We start from the raw sequence: 20,288 nt of genomic DNA on the forward strand, positions 1-20,288 counted from the left end.
CAGAGGGAGAGGTGGAACCATGAAACATGCACGACAAAGGCCTCAGCTGGTCCCCAGGTAGGTCTGGGGCTGGGAAGAGCTGCAGAGTGATCCCCACTGGGGAAAGCAGGCCAGGTCTGTGCACTCCCACATGAATCAGGCAAGGTCTATCACCTTGGGCAAGGCAGCTCTTTCATCCAGTGCAATTCCTGGGGACGAACTAGCCATAAACCAACAGCAGCCAACACTCCCAGACCTGGGGGGGGCTCTGGGCAGCTCACCACAGCATCCACTCCAATCACTGTGTACTCATAAGAAACAACAAGCAGCAGTGAACTCCAACCCGTATGAGTTTTACATGGGGAGGCCTTATTGAAGGTCAATGTTCAAGTTTTATTAGCTGTTTTGGAAGTAAACATTGCTCACATTTTTGCCTTCCCAGATTTTTGCCTTCCCAGGTACTAAAGGTTCGGGGACTCTAGGTTGAAAATGTGACTCCTTCTTTCTAGCATTCTCTGAGGGTGTGGGGTTTGTATGTCCTGAAGACCCCAAGAAGATGCCACCACCAAGGAACAATAGTGAATTTCTCAGCAATAGTGAATTCCTCTGCTCCCATGGTGCCTGGAAGAAGATGTACCTTCCTCGAGCCCACCCAGCCCCAGCCCCAGCCCCAGCCCCAGCCTGAGTGCACAGCTTGGTAGCAGAGCCTGACTAGAGTTCAGCCTGTGCTTATCACCTGGCTGGACACCCTTGAGTGGGTCACAGCCTGTGCACCTGTCCCTACAGACCCTGCCCTCCCATTTATCTTTCTCCTCCTCAGCCTCCCTTCCCTCCTCCTTTCAAAGCCTTCACTCTTCTTCAATCCTCCATGTGCTGATTCCATGTGCTTGCAGCTCCCCGGGGACCAGGAAGGGTGTCAGCGACTTGAAAATGTTCACTCTACCACTGCTGGGAATCTTGCCTAAGGAAATAATCTAAAATACAGGAGATCCTTTATGAGAGAAGACACTCATCCTAATGTCATTTGTAAAAGTGACAGGTTCAAGCCATTGTAAATGGTAAACCACAGGGGAATGTGAATTATGGTGCATCAACAAAGTGGAATATCATGCCACCATTAAAAATTATGTGTGTAAGAAGCAATGTGAAAACATGTTTATGGTTAGCAACACAGGCTACAAAATTATACTATGCAACCTGACTGCAACAATATGAACGAAGTAAACAGTTAAAGAGTGGCAGGAAAATCTGAACTGCTCATGGGCTTGGCTGGAGGAACCACAGCAGGGATCTCTTAACCCTTTTTGTGCCACAGACACCTTTGGCAGCTTGATGAGCCTATGGGCTTACCAGCATGTTTTTAAATGCCTGAAATATAAACCATAGAATTTCAAAGAAAACCAATAATATTGAAATACAGATATCAAAATGTTAAAATAATTTTTCAATATATGTGCTTCTTTTTAATACCTTAAGTAACACGATCTAGCAGAAGATCAAATAATTACTATACCTATAAGGTAGTGATGAATTCAAGTAATATTTTAAATTACATGCAATAGCTAAAATGTGGTATAAAAATGTCTAAGTTTCTGTCAGTGACAAAGTTGTCTATATAGCTAAAACTACTGTTATTTGAAGCCAAAATTCATAATAAATGACCATGCTGTATTTTGGTTAGATCATGAAATAAAAACGTCATTTTTCCTATCCAAGTTCATGTACTCTCTGAAATTCTTACTAGTCTTCTAGGGGATTTATGGACCTTGATTTTAAAAATCTCTGTATCAGAGTTTTTTACTTCTTTCTCTTTATTCTCTCTAATTCCAAAATTTTACATAATAGACATGCATTGCTTCTATCATGTAAAATAACCAAGGAATTTTAAAATTAAATAAGCAAATGAACAAAGAAAATATAATTCAGGCTTATTAGATCACTGGATGATAAGGCAGTAAGTGCTCTCAGATGCCATATCATTTAACCCGCAGGTTAAATTCCACAAGAGACATGGTATTAATGTAGCCGTTTGGCAAGTGAAGACATTGATGCCAGCGGAGGTTAAGAGACTTGTCCAAGGTCACACAGTCAGCAAATGATGGAACCAGAGTTTGAACCGAGGTGTATCATTCAAACCCAGACTCTTACCTGTTAGATCCACTGAGCCTGGCAATCTACGGCTTACGATGAGTAAACTGAATGTTTTGTTTGTAGAATTGATTTATTTTAGCCACTGTGAAGTAATCTCTTCACATGAATGTTTCTCCTGCTGAAGTACATCTGCCCTTGATTAAATGTTGTCTATGCAATTCATGGACAATCGATGGTACTCTAGGCTCTGAATGAGAAAACTGGAACTTCTGGTTGCCACAAGTCTGCTGATGGCTTAGGCAGGGACATTCTGTCTCCCAGGGGCCCTATCAGTGCTCATGTGGTCACGTAGACACACTTCAACTTGAGCTTCAGGTGGGATGCTTCCCTATAAGCAGTGAACGCGAAAAGCCTTGGCTAAAATGGGATCCACACCGAACACAGAACAGAACTGGGGCTGCACTTCCAGGTGAGAAGCATAGGGTGGGATCAAGAGGTGGCTGAAGGGATGGCAGATTCTCAAGCTGCATTCCTGCAGTCAGGATGTGTCCAAACGGAAGGCTTGGACAGTCAGTGGCCACGTGGGGGCAGCATCGAGCCAGAATGACAGAGGGCACTTCGTCTGGTGAATATCATGTGAGTCCATGTGGAGCCTCCTCTTTGGAAGATGGGGTGCTCTTGTGGGATGAACGTTGGGGAGGGACAATCTCTTTAATAACTCTGAGAGGTACTGCTCTTTTTATGAAGGGGCAGTATAACGTGGTGCTTATAAACGTGGGCTCTGGATAGTTAGCCTATTTGTATTTAAAACCTGCTGTTATTTATTAGATAACTTACTTAAGTTTTCTGTGCCTCAGTTTCTCCATGGGGTTGATATGAGGACTAAATGAATACACATTAGGCACTTTTTCAGTTATCTATTGCTGCGAAACAAACCAAGCCGAAACAACTACGTATTTGCTCACGATTCTGCAATTAGGGCAGGGCTCAGTGGGACAGCAACTCGCTTCCTCATGTGATGTTGGCTGGGCACTTCCAGTAGGGCTGGATGAGCCAAGAGGGCTTCCTCAAATGCATGGCACCTCAGCTAAAGGCTGGCAGGGCCTCTCTCTCCAGCACGAGAGTCAGAATGGTTTTACATGGCATTGTGCCAAACCCCTACTCACCTCAATAGGGAAGTCATCAGGTTCAAGAGGTTGAAAAAGAGACCCAGAGCCAACAAACAAGACATGGGTTTTGACTAGGGGCTTATGTACAGGGGAGAGAATCCAGTGGCAGCGGACTGGACAGTCAAACCACCTTCCTATGGCCCAATGGCAGCAGGCTAGGCAGAAAAGCCACAGCTGCTTGTGAACAGCATGCAATTTATAGAGCATTTTCACTTAACACCCTCCCTGAATGACCTGAACCTGGCAACATTCACTTAACCCAAAACCTGGGGCTTCAATCCCCTGTACAGCCTGTGTTCCATGGGACAGGCTGGGGGCTCGGATGTTTTCTCATAGACAAGGAATGAATGTCTGTGTTGGCCATCCCTGGATTCCCTGTCTCGGAACACACATTCAAGTCCCACACAGGTGCCATACAGGGCCATTCTCAGGGTATGTTTATGTTATTGCTGTCAAGTGTGTTTGCCCTATACATGGTGGCGCAGGACTCCAAGAGAACTAAAGGCCGTTCCCAGCCTCTTACCGCCTTGCCTGGGAGCTGGCACAGCAGTCACTTCTACCATATTCCATAAGTCAAAGCAAGTTACAAAGCCAGCCCAGATTTAAGGAAGAGAGACACAGGCCTCTCCTCTTGATGAGATGAGTGACTTGCACATGCAAGAATGGGAGGAATTATTAGTGGCCATCTTGCAAACCACCTACCACAGGTACTTATAGTAGTGCCTGGCACACAGAAAGTCCTCCATACATGGAAGCCACCTTCACAGCTGAGGAGACTGAGGTGCCTCGGCTACAGAGATTGTTCCCAAGATCACATGTCAGGTAAGGACAGAGCTAGAATTGAAGCCCAGGTCTTTCTGAATTAAAAGCCCATTCTCCTATGGCACCATTGTTGTAAGCTCTGTGCCCTTGGCCAAGTCATTTAACCCCCGAGCCTTGTTTTCCTTGTGTGATGTCAGGTGGATATAGTAAAGACAACCACCAAATAGAATTATGGCACAGACTAAATAAGGAAATGCCCAAGAAAGCATCTTATCACCTATAAAGCATTATGGGAGCATGAATTATTTTGAGATTTTAATTTGAACTTCATTTGTTCAGAATGTGTCTACTGCTGGTAGAATCTGTATTCATGCTTCCTTTCCTTGGCACTAGGGTGGCTGAGGGTGGATGGCAGGAGGGGTCACATGCTTATCCCCACAGGCAATAGCCATTTTCAAGTCTTCAAGAAGCGTCTATTGATGTGAATGTTAATGACAAGCCATTCTCATCTGTGCAGTAAGGAAACTCCCAGGAACCTTGTTACAGGAAAGGAGCCTGGGGATGGGAAGTGCTTTCTTCGGAAGCTTCTGGCACTCTCCCTTTCCCAGGGCCAGTCTGGTTTTCATGGTCTGCCCCTGGTGAGTGTCTCCAGAGCCCCCTTCTCAGTAAGCTGCCTGAGCCCTTCTCCCCCTGGGGGCGGATAGATGGACAGCCTGGAGTGCTGCCTGGTGTACCTGGAATCCCGATTTCTCTAGCTGAGTCTGCCTTAGCCATTCCCCTCACGTGCCTGCTTCGCTCTAGCTGCAGGAACCAGAAGCTGTGCTTTTATTAAATTTGATCCTCATCAGAATTGCATTTGGTGGTTTTCCAAGTTATGACTTTCTAATTAGCTTTTTGTTGAAGCTGTTTTTCATTGCTTTGCTCAGAATCGGTGGTAAAAGAGACTATTTTCTTGATGTTGTGGCCTCCTTTGGTGATTTCTCCACTTAAAAAGAGAAAAAAAAGAGTAAGGATGTGCTTCCTGAGAAATCTGATAACTAATCACAAGCTTTAGACAAACCCTGAGATTCCCAGGTTATCAGCTATTGAGACATCTGCTTCCTGCCTGCGAGAAAACAAGTTCTCACTGGGGTGCGGGGCACTGGGGATGGCTTTGGAATCAAACTTTCTGGATTCAAGTCTTGGCTCTGCTACTTGCCAGCTGTGTGACCTTGGGCACTTTAATTGGAGTCTCTGAGCCTCAGTGTCTTCGCCTTTATAACGAGCAATGTGCCTCAGATGTCTGCTGTGAAGCGCCACTGAGGTCATACCTGTAAAAGCCCTGATGTGGAGTATGCCTTCAACAACATTGCAGCTCTTATCACATTTGATAAACAACATGCTGTGAATATAAGTTTATAGAAAACTCTAAAGCACTGTACAAATATGAGCTTTATTGCTATACAAATATTGGTTTATGACTATTAAGAATAATTAGCTATATGGCCTTAGGTAAGCTACTCCATCTTTCTGAGTGTCTGGTCTAGATAATGGGTTGCACATTCAGGTGACTTCAGGAACTACAGCTATACTGGGAATGAATAGAGTAGACCAGATAGAAGAAATGCTCATGTCAGTACACACTAAGTGGGCAAGAGGAAAGTGCATCAACAGCAAGGTCCCAAAGATAAATAAGTTTGAGAAACTCTGGGTTAAACAAAATTGAACAGGCTTCTTTCTTCAGGACTCTTCCAAGAGTTTTAAGTGCCTGGCTGCATAGTGAATTTCAAAGGGCAGGAAAGGATATATGTGCAATGTTTTCCAAACTTCCCTGACCTCAGACCCTCTTTTTCCGTTAAGACCAGTGTTCTTCTGAATACACCTGGCAAATTCTGGATGGATGACCTCAACCATCCCTTCCGATTCTAAATTTCAGCTTGGGTCTCTAAGGTCAGAAAGAGGCATTTCTGATAGAAGATAAAAGACAGAATGTGTGTTGGGTCTTCTTCCTTTGATTGTTCACTTTCATCAAAATGATGACTAATTCTGTTCACATGACGGTACTGCTCAGTGTGGTCAGCTGTGAGTGAAGCCGGATATCTGGGTGCAGCGTCTCCTAACCAGTCACGGAGAGTCGGGCGGGAAACCAGGGAAGGGGGACACTGCTGGGCCCACCTGTTATTTTGGGAAAATCAGGAAATTGTCTGGCCCTTGTGTTTGCTAGCCTCAACCTTCACATACATATATGAAATTCAGAAATCCAAGGCTTATAGCAAAGGCCACTTGAACTTGACCTTGCTTTCATCAGCTATTTAGTACAATATATTCAGTAAATTTCTCTTGTTAATCAGTGAACATTGTGTAAGCACCTATTATTACTAGATATCAGTAAGTTAATTATCTTCATCACTCTGTTTAATTTAGATATGTGTTTGGGGACTCCCTGAGATCTAAGTTAAATTGCCACGGATCCCAAATTCCATAGCCTGTGGCTATCTGAAGCCCTTCCTAAGATTTCTGCTTCTTATACCACTTGGCATTGAATTCCTTGAATGGGACCTCTGCCTTGCACTCTGTTTTAACCCCCTTGAGGCTCAGGGAGGTTAAGTGACTTGGCCAAGGCTCCACAGCCTGCAAGTCTGGCTCAGTTACGGTTGCCACTGGGCCTTGGCTAAGAAGAGATCCTGCCCCACTGCCCCAGGCTACCATCCCTGGGGATGATGAAGGGGGCTCCTGGAGATGAGGGCTGAGGTCTCCAACATTTTTCTACTTCAGGCTTTTCTTCTCTCCTGCCATTGATGGGCCTGGGTGTCACCCCATCCAGAGATGCAGGCACTAAGCCTCTGGGGGTGAGGGCCTCGTGCCTCCACACTGCATTCATTTAATCTTCCAACCATTTCCCTGGCAGTGGTAATATACCCATTTTACAGATACCCTTATAAGGATTAACTAGTAAAAATAACAAAAACCATCACAACAATCCACAGTTACAGAACTCTGACTGTGCCAAGTGTTATCTATATTTTCTCATTTAGTCTCGCAACATCCATATATAGAAAGACGGCACCTGCCTGTGAGGTGGATCATGACAGAATCAAGTTATTATGCCTGACCACCAACCCTTTGGGGCAAATCCGCTCTCAGAGGGTGGAAAGTCTTGTTGACAAGCAGAGTAGCCCCTGGGGCCTCAAGCTTTTGGGGCATCTCTGGGGGCTCCGGGCATCCTTTAGGGCAGGATAAGATACTTACAATAAACTCTCTCTTTGAGACATGGATTGGGTCTTCACTTAATGTTTTTGACTCTTCATATTTTTTTTTCAGTTTCAAGTTTTGACAGCCCTGGAGCTTAGGCACTAAATCAGCAACAGAATAGGATTCTAAGATGTTTGATTAGGGATTAGACCTCTGACACATGGCTTGCCCAGAGCTGGCTGATCTAATACATCTCAGAATCCAGGAAGAAAGGGACCATGTACCACAAAGCCTAATGCCTCATTGTGAAGAGAAAAATGAAGGCCCTGTGCTGGTGTGGATTTACGCAGCACTAAAGCAATAGTTCTCAGGTCAGAGCCCAGGTTTTATGTCTCCTAGTCTATAGATCTGCATCAGTAGCACCTACAAGACAGGGTTGCTTCATAACCAAGTTCCATTCAGAGCCAATCATATGTATTAATGGTGTGGTCAGTAAGATGTCAAGGAATCTCTGTCTATCCATCTAATCTCATGAGTTTTCTCTGGGTCCTAAAATAATGTCACCTTCAAAACATGGAGTAGGCCCTGCCAAGACACCTCACCTACCTAGAGAAGGTATTAAATACATTACCAGCAGAGACCCAATTAACATCTGGACCTATCAGAAAGCAGAAGCTGGGACACTGGATAGCTCAGTTTGATTGCTATGAGAGCTCTCAGGAAAACAAAAGAAATACAAAAGTTTGGATTGTGGGCAGATAGAATTTTCAAAATTTAGAGAAGATCCGAAATCTTTTCATTGCTTAGATGGACAAACCAAGACCAGGGAAAAGAAGTGAATTTCCCACGCCTGCCCAATAGTCAGGACAACACCTTCCCTACCAGCTCTCCATCACTTCCCCAGTCTCTCTTCCCAAACACAGCTCTACCAGTAATACAGAGTTGGGTGCCAGGACTCAGGAGTCGGAACCCCATTACACTTAGGCTAGATCTTTGTGAATATTGAGGCTAAGAGTGGAATTTAGTCATGGTCTCCTTTTGACACAGAGGGACCTTTATAGACCAGAGTCGATTTTTGTCTGTAACAACTGTAAAGTAAAATGAACACCTTGGTTGCTACTTGAGCCCTTGGATCGGGATGCACCTGGTGGGCTGCAGTAAATCTTGAAGTAGCATCCATTAATCAGCTACACCAGAATTCACCAATGTGCTTGTTAAAATGCTGAGTCCTGGGCTTTATTTACCCAAGACCCATTGAATCCCGGGTCTATGGGGCATTTTAATATGTATCCCAAGCGATTCACATGCCCCCAAAAGTTGGAGAACCGCCACTACAATGGAAGATCTGGAGTTAAGCTTGCCTGGGTTCAAATCTGGGCTCTGCCAGTTACCAGATGTATGAACTTCAGCATGCCTGAGCTTCAGACTCCTCCTGTAACATGAAGAGAATAGTAATAACTACCTCACAGGGTTATTGAGAGAGTTAAGGGAGGTAAAGCAGGAAAAATGCTTAGCATTGGGCTTGGCACCTTGCAAATAAATATTAAGCAAATCAATTAAAGCAAAGCAAATATATTTAATAAATTAAATATTGAACAAATAAATATTAGCTGCTACTGTAATGTCGTTCTTTAGATACATTCCCTGTCTTCACCTGTTCACATGGAGGCCAGCTGCAGCCTCTGCAATCAGGAGCCCGTCCCCACCTGAACCCCCGACCCCTACCCCTCCAGGGAAGATGAGCGGCTGTGAGAAGCCTGGCCTACCCATTCTGTGGCGGGGGCTTTGGGGAGTGCAGTGACAAGAGCCACCAGCAGGGGGAAGCATAAACACATTTCAGGGCATAGCGCTGGTGATCCTTGAGGGTGGGGCGCTCTCTGGGGGAATGGGCTGAGGCTGGGATCAGCGTTTCTTCTCGAATTTTCCCCCCACTGTGGACAGGAATATCTGGTGATGCTCACAAGACAGAATCCTGCTTTTCCTCTAATTGCTCAAAAAGTGAGACCCTGCGCTGGCTGACACTGGCTCTTCCCTGAAGCCTCAGGAAGCGGCTCATTAGCTGTTAATTTTATTTTCACCACCCAGTCGGGCTCTGGCAGGCCCTCGGCAGAGTGCTGGCTGCCGGGCCTTTCTAAGGAGACTCTTGGCAGAGCTCTGATCTGGGCGTCGTGTTCTTTTTCCATTTGGAGGAGCAACTGCGTGAGGTGCCTCACCAGACTTAGCGAGAGGGGCTGAGGGGCGGGGCGGGGCCTGAGTGTCCAGACCTGCCCTCTAGTTCCCTTCCTGCCGTCCCCTAGAAATCAGGGGGCCGGGAGGTCCGCCGCCGCTTGAGTGCCCACCGTGTGCTATTCTGTACCTCCCACCGGGCTCCCCAGGAGCATGTCACAGAGGGGAAGGCTGAGGCCCAAAGAGGTCGGGTGACTTGCTCAGAGCCACGCAGCCAATGAGCAGCAAAAGTAATAATGACACTGGGCCGGGCGTGGTGGCTCACGCCTGTAATCCCAGCACTTTGGGAAGCAGAGGCTGGCGGATCACCTGAGGTCAGGAGTTCAAGACCAGCCTGGTCAACATAGTGAAACCCTACCTCTACTAAAAAATACAAAGATAGCCAGGAGTGATGGCAGATGCCTGTAATCCCAGCTACTCGGGAGGCTGAGGCAGGAGAATCTCTTGAACCCAAGAGGCAGATGTTGCAGTGAGCCGAGATCACACCACTGTACTCAGTCTGGATGACAGAGTGAGACCCTGCCTGCCCCCTCTCCAGAAAAAGGTAATAATGGCACCGGCCGCCTAGTGTGTGCCCAGTATGTTGCCGGGATCCATCGCTGTCCTTTTACATATGTTTACTCCTACATCAATCAAATCTGTAAAGCCCAGTGGCTGAGGTTAAAGCCCATGCTTTTCTTCCTACTCCGCACTGCCTCGAAACCCTTGGAAGTACTCTTCTCCTATTTCCCTAATCTTTCAAATTATTCAAATTCCCATTTGTTCTCCAATTAAAGGTCCCCTCCTCCCTCTTCATCCAAGAGTCCTTTGGTGAGAGCTTCGGTAGTGGCTTGATCACATTCTGAATTTGAGATTTGCTTGTAATTAGCAGTCTTGAAAACACCAGTTCTTTGCTAGGCTCTGCTCCCAGGAACCCAGGAGTCAGGACATCTGAGGAAGGGCTACATGCATCACTGATCTCTCCCTTAACCACCCCTTTCATAGGTATCTGGAATAAGCTCAAATTTCATTGATTTTCCTATGGTGATAAATTGACAGCCCGCCTTTTTTTTCCACAGAAATTAATGCCAGTAAAATGACTACTACAGCCCACTCCCTGCTTTGAATACACCATTAAAATAAACCATGTCTGTGTGCAAACATGTGTGCACCCAATGAGATGTGCTTTTCAAAGACACTGTCATGCAATGTACACAACACTGTGCAGACATTTCAATTTTCCTCCTGGCTGTCTCGCCATCTAAAGACGAAATGCTCGATGTGGCCTGGCATCCAATGGCAGCTGGAGGAAAAGAACTTGCGACTTCGTGTTTCTCCTCTGGAGCTCTGGGCTTGCTCTCATTTGCACTGGTGAATTGTAATGTCAGCAACCTATGGATAGACCGCAGGACACTGGGCTGCAGCATGAAGAGCTATCCAAGGAGATTTTATTTTATTTTATTTTATTTTATTTTATTTTATTTTATTTTATTTTTTTGTGAAACAGGGCTTCGCTCTGTCACCCAAGCTGGAGTGCAGTGGCACCATCACAGCTCACTGCAGCCTCAACCTCTGGGGCTCAAGCAATCCTCCCACCTTTAAGCCTTCTGAGTAGCTGGGACTACAGGTGCACGCCAACACACCTGGCTAATTTTTTTTGTTGTTGCTGTTGGTAAGAACAGGGTTTCACCATGTTGCCCAGGCTAGTCTCAAACTCCTGGTCTCAAGCAATTCACCCACCTCGGCCTCCCAAAGTGCTGGGATTACAGGCATGAGCCACCACTCCCAGCCCAAGGTGGTCATTTTAATGTGCAGTTGTTACAGACAAGCAAATGATCTCCAGTTTGTAAAGATCTCTCTGAGTCAAAAGGAGACCATGACTAAATTCCACCTTTAACTTCAAGGTGATCCATAAACTTGAGGAGTTTTGCAAACGCCATTTGGCTCAGTTACTGAGATTCTTTGTGTCATTTTGGCAGCCACCCCTGTGCCTGAGACAGGGAGCTCAGGCAGCTGGTTGGAGCTGCTTGTGGATTCAGATATTCCAGAACTGCCGGTTATGTAGGAAGTTCATGCTATAGAGAGGAAGATGAGTATGAGACAGAGAATCCATATTTATGAAACACCAGACATTATCCTGGGCACACTCCATCCTCACAGCCATGTTGTGAAGATACTTACATATGCTCTGTCCAGCATCCAGGGAAACTAAGGTCTAGAGGGGCATGATAACTGGCCCATGGTCACCAAGGATCTGAAAGACACACCCACAAAGGCCTAACTCAAATCCATGTATTTTCACCATTGCCTGTGAGAAAGAATCTTCCATATATTATGTTTATTTGTTTGCATTTATTTGTTTTATGAAAAAGGTCTACACTTTCTGCAGCTGTCACTTTTGCAGGCAATAAGGATACCTTTCTGGAACGAGAAATCTACATTAGACCAGAGACTGGATGATGGAGGGCTGTTTCTGTAATATTTATCCCTGCAAAGTAAATATTTCTGTCTCCACCATGTTCCAGAATTTCCCTGCTGACAGCTTCACAGATACTTCTTTTTCTCCTCTCTTGAACATCCAGCTATTGCCGGGGACAGGATGACCGGGTGCAACTGGTTCTTTTCACTTTTGACTGTGGACTTCTTGCAGCCAAAGAAAGAAAGGCTGGCCAGTGATCCACACTGGGTGAGGATTGGAGGCCAGGGCTGTGGAAGGGAAGTGTAGTTTGCATCCTAAGTGGTGATCCCAGGGGACAACCGACCCACTAGAGAGCAAAACTGAGGCTTTCCATGCAATGTTTTGGACCAATGTATATGGTTCCCTGAAGTCATCTTGCAGATTTATTTCTGTAATGTTCTCACATTTATTCCCTTCTCTCTTTTCCCATCAGCACTGTCCAGAGAGGTTGAGTGATTTGCCCCAGGTCACACAACTAGTAAGTGGCTGAACAGGGCATTAATTCTAGGCTTTCTGCCTCCCTGGTTTGTGAGCTTAACCATTGCACTGTAGCTCTAAGACTCTTGGTGAGCCAGGCCCCCCTTTGTCCCCAGCCTTGGCCCTCAGACATCTCACTATGGCCCTTTAACCTCCAGCCCTGGAGCTTAATTCAGTCCCTCTGATAGACCACATTCTTCCTTGTCTTTAGGTCTTTCCATAGGCTATTCTGCAATCTGGAACTCATTTCCTCACTTTACCCTCTCTTTCAAAAAGAAAATCCTCCAGGAACCTACTCACAGTCATGCTCAGGTTAAAGTTCCTCCTTCCGAGGGGTCTCCCATCACTGACCTTCTCCCCAGGCTGCATACACCCTGCCTCATGCCCAGTCAGGGGCTCTGTGTACCCTCGCATCCTAACACCGATCACACTATAGTGTAACTTCATATTTCATATTCTGTCTCCCCCTGGCTGTGCACTCTCTGAGGGCAGGTGCTTGTTCACAGCTGTGATCCTGCAGCTGATGCAGCGCCTGGCTCACAGTAGGTGCTCGGTAAATGTTGAATGGATGAAACATGAATGAGCAAGTCAGAGAACCAGTGCCTGTGCCCATTTGCCCCTGTTGTTCCCTTGGCCTGGCACATTCTTCTCTAGGCTTTGGCACAAGCCACAGCTCACATTCTTCCTTTGAGTATCACTCTGTGAAGCTTAGGAGGCCACCAGGGCTGTCTTTGGGGGCTCAGAGATCTCTAGGCTCAGGCAAGGATGCCCAGTAAAAATAGTTTTTGTAGAAATGAGCTCCAGTACTGAGACCCTGAGAGAGGCTCTAGACGTGAGAGACTTGGGCTGTGGAATCAATGTGAAGCCTGGGAGGATTCACACTCGAGGAAGGACATGGAGCAGGCAGAGTTAGAGGTGAGGGTGTGTCTGGAGCCCAGTTCTGGATTGTGATTGTGAGTTCTGGATGTCCAAGCTGTACAGATGGATCTTTACAGTGGCAAAAGCCAACTTGACCCAGAAGTCCAGAGCATAAGAGGCTCTCTCCTGGAGCACTGTTTGTGTCAGACCCTGCTAAGCACTTCACAGACTTGATCTCATTGACTTCTTATGAAAGCACCTCCCAGGTAGGTCTAGTCCCGGTTCTTTAGTCCCCCATTGAAGGAAGGGGAGCAAAGATGGTGAGCACTTGCCCAAGGTCTTAGTTACATAAGGCTGAGCCAGGTCTCAGAACCCAAGTCTGTGCTGCTAACGTCACCTCCCCATTCACGTTGGCCACACTCTGAGAATGCAAAGGTGAGGTCTCTCTAATTCTAATCTAAGTGGATCTGATTAGGAGTTATTGGGCCAAAGTCATTAACTTACATTTCAGATGTACTGCCCTGGGTCTCCTACGCATCTTCTATGTGACAGGCAGCATTGGAAGAAAGCAAGGCTCTATCTCACCCAGCATATGCTTTTCAGGTGCTGAGCACAGAATGCTTGGGCCCAGCACTTCAGAGAAGTCAAATGGATCCAGCTTCTGCATGGTCATGAAACTTATTATCCTGGGTGAGGGAATGGTAAATGATTTTTCTTCTTGTTCTGTACTTTTTAAATTTATAAAAATAAAGTGTTTATAGTCATGGAAAAAAGTTTTAAATAATAAAGAAATTAGCAAATACACCTGCAAGATGTCAAGGAGCTGTATCCCTCCCTGCCCTTGTTCATGCATTTCTCTTAGTCTGGAATGTCCTTCCCTTCCTTGTCAATGCATTAATGTCTTACTCATTTTGCAGGGCTCAGCTCAAATGCAGCCTCTTCTTGATCCCATCTCAAGCTGGTTCCTTGTCTATTGTCTCTCTTTCTCACTGGAATGTAAACCCCATGAGGGCAAACGACCTTGTCTGTCTTTTCACTGTTTTATCCCAATATCTAAAAGAGTGTCTAGCATGTAAGAAAAACCCATAAAATTTTTTTAGTGAATAAATGAATATTCCCACATTTGATTCCTAATATCCATCTCGGTCTGTCCCATCCTGCCTTCTGCCTCAAACTATGGCAGCTGTTTCTCTCTCTCTCTCTATTCTCTGCTGGCCTACTTGAAAAACTTATTTCTGTGGCCCCCATAGCACAGAGCTTGGTACATAATAGACCTCAGTAAATGAACGTTTGCTGTCAACTTCAAGGCAAGGAATCAGGATGCAAAGGGCTACATCTCACCCCCTTCTCTGGGGAATGAGCTGCGTTGTCAGGAACTGATTACAATGTGATGCTCCCTGGGGAGGGAGAACTGCCCCTAACCACCCTGGATGGGGAGTTATGAGATGAAATGGCTCATGGAGGTTGTCCCACTGCCCCAGAGTTGCTGCTTTATAAGGAAGGAAAGTACAAAAGCACAACAAAGTCTACTAACGCTAAATTTTGAAAGGTAAAGATGACTTTCCCCTTGTATTCAACCAGGTGGCTGTCTCACCTGAGCCTTCCTCCCAGGCAGCAGAATTACTCCTTGTAGCTATCAGGGGGAACATCTGTATTTCTTCCATCCTTCCCTTCAAATTTTGGGGCCAGCATTTTGTTTGTGGAATCACTACCTATCACTACCTACATTATTGGAGATGAGGGGATAATGGGCAACAGGAGGCAGATCTGGAGAGGCTGAATGATAGGCATCTTGGGCTCCGGAGCTGAAGACACAGATTCAAACCCTGCCTCTGCTCTGCATGGCTGTGTGTCATTAGGCAGGTAACTTAAATGCCCTGACCCTTAGTCTCTAAGATGGGAATGGTGATGATGATGGAATTCACCCAGAGGATGTCAAGAAGATTAGATGTAAAACACTTAACACAAAACTTGTAGGATAAAACCTAGAGGTAAATTTTCATGACCTTGGATTTGGCAATGGATTGTTAGATACAACATCAAAACCATCAGCAACAGCAGGTAAAATGGATAAGTTGGACTTTATCAAAATTAAAAACTTTTCTACACCAAATGACAGCTTCAGACTTGGAGAAAATATTTGCAAATCATATATCTGGTAAGTCTAGTATTCAGAATATATCAAAAGCTCAATGTTAAAAAAGACCTGATTAAAATAAATAAACCAATTAAAAAGTGAGCAAAGGACTTGAATAGACATTTCTCCAAAGAAGATATACAAATAGCCCAGAAGCACATGGAAAGATGCTAACATCATTAGTCATTAGGGACAAACAAGTCAAAACCGCCATGAAATACCACTTCACACACGCTAGGATGGCTACAATTTTTAAAAAATTGAAAATAACAAGTGTTTCTGAGGACATGGGGAAATTAGAACCTTCCTATAGTGCTGGTGGGAATGTAAAATGGTGCAGCCACTGCAGAAAACAGTTGATGGTATTTCAAAAAGTTAAACATGGAATTACCATATGACCCAGGAATTTTACTTCTAGGCGTACACCAAAAAAGAATTGAGAACAAGTGTTTAAAAAATGTGGTCATGAATGTTCATAGCAGCAGTGTTCATTATAGCCAAAAAGTGGAAACAACCCAAATGTCTATCAACAGATTAATAGATAAACAAAGTATGGTATATCCATACAATGGAATATTATTCAGCAATAAAAAGAAGTGAAGTACTGACAAATGCCACAACATGGATGAACTCTGAAAACATTATGTTAAGTGAAAGAAGCCAGGCATAAGGTCATATATTATATGATTTCATTTCTATGAACTATCCAGAATAGGCAAATCCATGAGAGACAAAAGTAGGTTAGTTGTTGCCAGGGGCAAAGGAGAGGGCAGGAATGGCAACTGACTCCTTAATGGACACAGGCTTCCTTTTGGGATGATGAAAATGTCTTGGAACCACTTAGAAGTGAAGGCTACGCAGCATTATGAAAGTACTAAGTGTCACTGAATTGTACACTTTAGAAAACTTTTCGGCTAGGCACAGTGCCAGCCTGTAATCCCAGCACTTTGGAGGCCAAGGTGGGTGGATCACCTGATGTCAGGAGTTCAAGACCAGCCTGGCCACATAGTGAAACCCCATCTGTACTAAAAATATAAGAATTAGCCAGGAGTGTTGGCATGTGCCTGAAATCCCAGCTACTCGGGAGGCTGAGGCAGGAGAACTGCTTGAACCCAGGAGGTGGAGGTTGCAGTGAGCTGAGATTGCACCACTGCACTCCAGCCTGGGCAACAAGAGCGAGACTCCATCTCAAAAAAGAAAAAAAAAAAAGAAAAGTTTAATTTTATGTTATGTCGATTTTACTTTCATTAAAAAGAAACGTGTAGCTCAGAAAAGCAGTCAGTAAATGGTGCCTTTACTATTACTTATTATGACTATATCCCCTTCCCACTGGAAATCAGCTTTTCCCAAAGGCTGAATGATAAGATATGTTAGGAAGTCCCAAAATAGGAAGTGCAGAGATGGGAGGATGAAGAAGGAGAGGGGAGACTGTGGCAGGTTTGGTCTTTCCCAACCCTCTAAGCACTCACTGTGTTAGGGACATCCTGTGGATGAGTAGACTGGCAGGTAGAACCATCTGCCCCCTGCTACCTGGGGCAGGACCACAGGACAACACTGGCAGACACAGGGGTGCAGATGGGAAGATGCTCTTTTGGCCCAAGCCATGGACTTAGGTAGTATGGCCTGCTCCTCCCACTGCCTGGCAACACAGTCAGCTTGCCCAGGCTGCTGCCTTCCGGATGTCAGTTGAACACTCCTGACAATATGCTCCATGGCTTAGGTCAGGGTCCAGGGTCCGTGTCGCTGAACTCTAAGATCAGGGACTGGAAGAGGCCTTAAAGCCCTCCGTCCCTTCTTATTTGGCAGACGGGGAAACTGAGACTTGGGGATATGGCATCAGCTTGCCATATTCCTTGCTCAGCCACCCTTCTCTGCAATAGAGATTGGAATTTTGTCATCCCTTTGCTGTAGTACTCTATCTGCAACCTTTCGGCTTCAATATTTTATATCTTGACAAAAGGACTTGACCTGGGGCAAAAGATTAAACAGGAAGCTCTGGAGTGTTCATTTTGGGGAAACAGCATGGCTTTTGGGGAAGAGCAAGAAAGCTTGGACAGCCCAGGGCAACCCCGTCTTGTTAGTAATAATAATGACTTCCATGTTTTTAAGGTAGTTACATGGTGGTCAGCACATAGATGCCAGAACCAGTCTGTCTGAGTTTGAACTCCAACTCTCCCACTTATGAGCTGCATGACTTTGATTAAAAGGCTTAATCTCTCTATGCCTCATTTTCTTCATCTGTAAAATGGGAATCATAATGGTGTATATAAAAGCTTCCAGAATTTTGCCCAGCACATGGTAGGGACTTGATAAATGACAGGGATTATAATTCCTATTGCTGATATTAATTAGTATAATTACCTGGGGAAACCTATATGAATATGCTGAAGTTTGCCAAGGACCGCTTTCCAGAAACAACAAACCGCAGAACCAACAGGGTCAACAGCATGCCTTTTGAAAAACTGGCCACAAATTGCATTTTTACACAATCTAATTTTCTCATTAACCTCTTGTTTAGGAAATGCTTTGTCTTTGAAATCATGTGAGGACTCCGTCTTGGCTCGGCAGGCACTCCTCTGGCTTTCAGGCATGAGCTTGCTGTTTCCTTTGCCTAGAACATTCTTACCTCCCACCTCCACCCAGACATCTGTGTGGCTACCTTCATCACTTCCTGCACTTCTTTTCCCAGAAGTCATCTTCTCAGTGAGCCCATCCCTGGGCACCCTGTTCAGAATCTCAGCTACCCTGCCCCTACACTTCATACCTATCTTCTCAGCTTTGCCTTTTTCTTCTTGGCACCTTGTCTGACATACTATCATATTTGTTTTGTTGGTTACCCACTCCGAACTGGAAGGTCTTTGAAGTCAGGGATTTTGACCATTTTGTTAATGATGTTTTCTCCAGCGCTCAGCACACAGCCAAGCACATAGTATGGACTCAATGACTGTGGCATGCGTGAGTATATAGGTGGGAAGGAGGATTTCCTGGCGGGTTCTGATTTTAGAATTTACCTGGTACAGCTGAGCTTCACTGAGCTGCTACCCTGTGCCAGCCGCGGGCAGTGCCTGACATCTGCCATTTCACTTCATCTTCACAGAAGCCTTATGGATGGGAAAGCTAGGTCTTAGAGAGATTAAGAAACTTATCTGGTCACCAGCTTATAGGTAGGTGGTAGAGCCTGAGGACTGTGCTTTCTTCTCCTGGACAGAAAGTGCTGCCTGAGCCCTCCCCTGTACCCAGCCTGTCAGGGAGGCCTCCCTGGGTGGTTTCTGAGCTGGCTGCTTTGCAGGGCTAGAAGGCCCATCCCTCCTCACCTGCCTGTGTCTGTGGGAGGCTCTTGGCAAGGGTGCTGTGTCAGGCGGCCCAAGTGCTTTCAGCACTTGGGGGTGGCAGGCTAATTTACTGGCCTGCTGAGCAGCTGGTGGATGACTGGGGATTGTCTGAAGTCTGCCTAGAACCATGGCCTGGGGCAGGGCTCCTTCCAGCAACTTCCCTGGAGAGCTGGCTGCAAGGCAGGGCCAAACCAGCCATCATGATAGTGTGAAGGGCATTTTCTGTCAAAAGAGGATGTTGGACAAGAGTTGGAAAGACTTGAGTTCTGATCCTGGCTTTGCCACTAGCTAGTTGTATAAAACTGAGCAAGTTACTGAGCATTCCTGGTTCCCACTGCTTACAAAATGGGAGCAGTAATCATGCTTACCTCCCAAACTTGTTGGGAAAATATATGCAATGTGATTAGCCCAGGTGCAAAAATAAATGTTAGATATTTTATGTTTATTATGATTTATTATTAGCTACAGCCCCCCTCATCTGTAAAATGAGAGGTTTCATTCAGTAACCACAGGCCTGGCACTATTGAGCAGTAGGTGCTCAATAAATGTTAATTCCCTTCCTAGTCCCTTATTCTTCCTTTAGCATCAGATTCCTGGCCTGTGTTGTCCCTGGGGCTCCAACACTCCTGGCCCTGGCCTATAGGTTTTCCGTGGGCTCATGGGTAATGAGCCATCTTCCCAGGGCAGTGGGGCTAAGTGCTTTGGTGGACATTTTGGAGCCATTGTATTAGAAACCCCCTCTTTTTCCTTCTTTACTTCCTTCCTTCCATCCCGTTTATTTTTGTTGATCACCTATTAAGTGCCAAACATAGTGAATACAGCTGTGAGCAAGACAAGGTTCCTGCTACCGTGGAGCATAGGTCCAGTTAGAATTAGGTAGAGAGAAAGGAAATGAACAACCATGCAAGAAAATAAACTCTTTGAAAAGTAGAAAATAGAATGGTGGAACAGAAAGTGATGAGTGTGGGGAGAATAGCAAAGCCACCTTAGATGGGGAGTCAGGGAAGACATCACAAAGGAAACAACATTTGAAGCAGGACTTGAAAGATCAGAACAGGCCAACCATACTCAATTGGGCGAAGGGGTTTCCTGCCGAGGAAATAGCACAGGTGAAGGCCCTGAGGAGGGATGGAGTTTAGCTGGTGCCCCTATACTTCCTAATGGGAAGTGCCCAGTAAAGACACAGCTTTGCACTTCCAGCCCAGGCAAAGCAATCAGCCTGCATCTTCAAGGGTTGGCTGCACTTAAGATCCGGGGTGCTGCCAGGATGTTCTTTTTGCAGTTAATTTGCTGCAACTGGCAGAGGTTAATCATGTCCACATTCCTCAAGGCCCCTGCCAAAGCTGGCCCTTCTCACAGATGCTGGTTTAAATTAGAGGGGTTCTTAGCAGCAGACTAGATTTAGCAGTGATTAACCCCAAACTGGTCCTATTGCCTTGCCCTCCTGATGGGCAGGTGGAAGCATGCTGGGCGAGGCTGGCATCTAGCACAGGCGGTAGATGCTTGCTCTTGCCATTGCAATGAGAAAGGAGCCCATCAGCTCTCCTTCTAAGCCTGGGCTCCTACAGCAGCCAGAATGCCAGTCAGACCCATCCACGGTGCTCCACGCCTGGCCCTAGCCTTGCTCTTGCCTCTTCCTTGCTGTGCAC

General features: G+C 45.7%; 1 protein-coding gene and 1 non-coding gene across 12 annotated transcripts in view; both read left to right on the forward strand.

Annotated features, from left to right (window-relative positions):
• NAV2 (neuron navigator 2) overlaps positions 1-20,288 on the forward strand; it is a 776,366-nt gene that overhangs the window by 209,974 nt on the left and 546,104 nt on the right. The window lies entirely within an intron of this gene.
• MIR4486 (microRNA 4486) lies at positions 20,101-20,163 on the forward strand. The gene has a single exon (NR_039706.1). It is a non-coding gene; the product is annotated as a microRNA 4486 (primary transcript).

This window comes from Homo sapiens, chromosome 11 (assembly GCF_000001405.40).
Source record: "Homo sapiens chromosome 11, GRCh38.p14 Primary Assembly".
In the NCBI taxonomy this organism is placed as follows: Eukaryota; Metazoa; Chordata; class Mammalia; order Primates; family Hominidae; genus Homo; species Homo sapiens.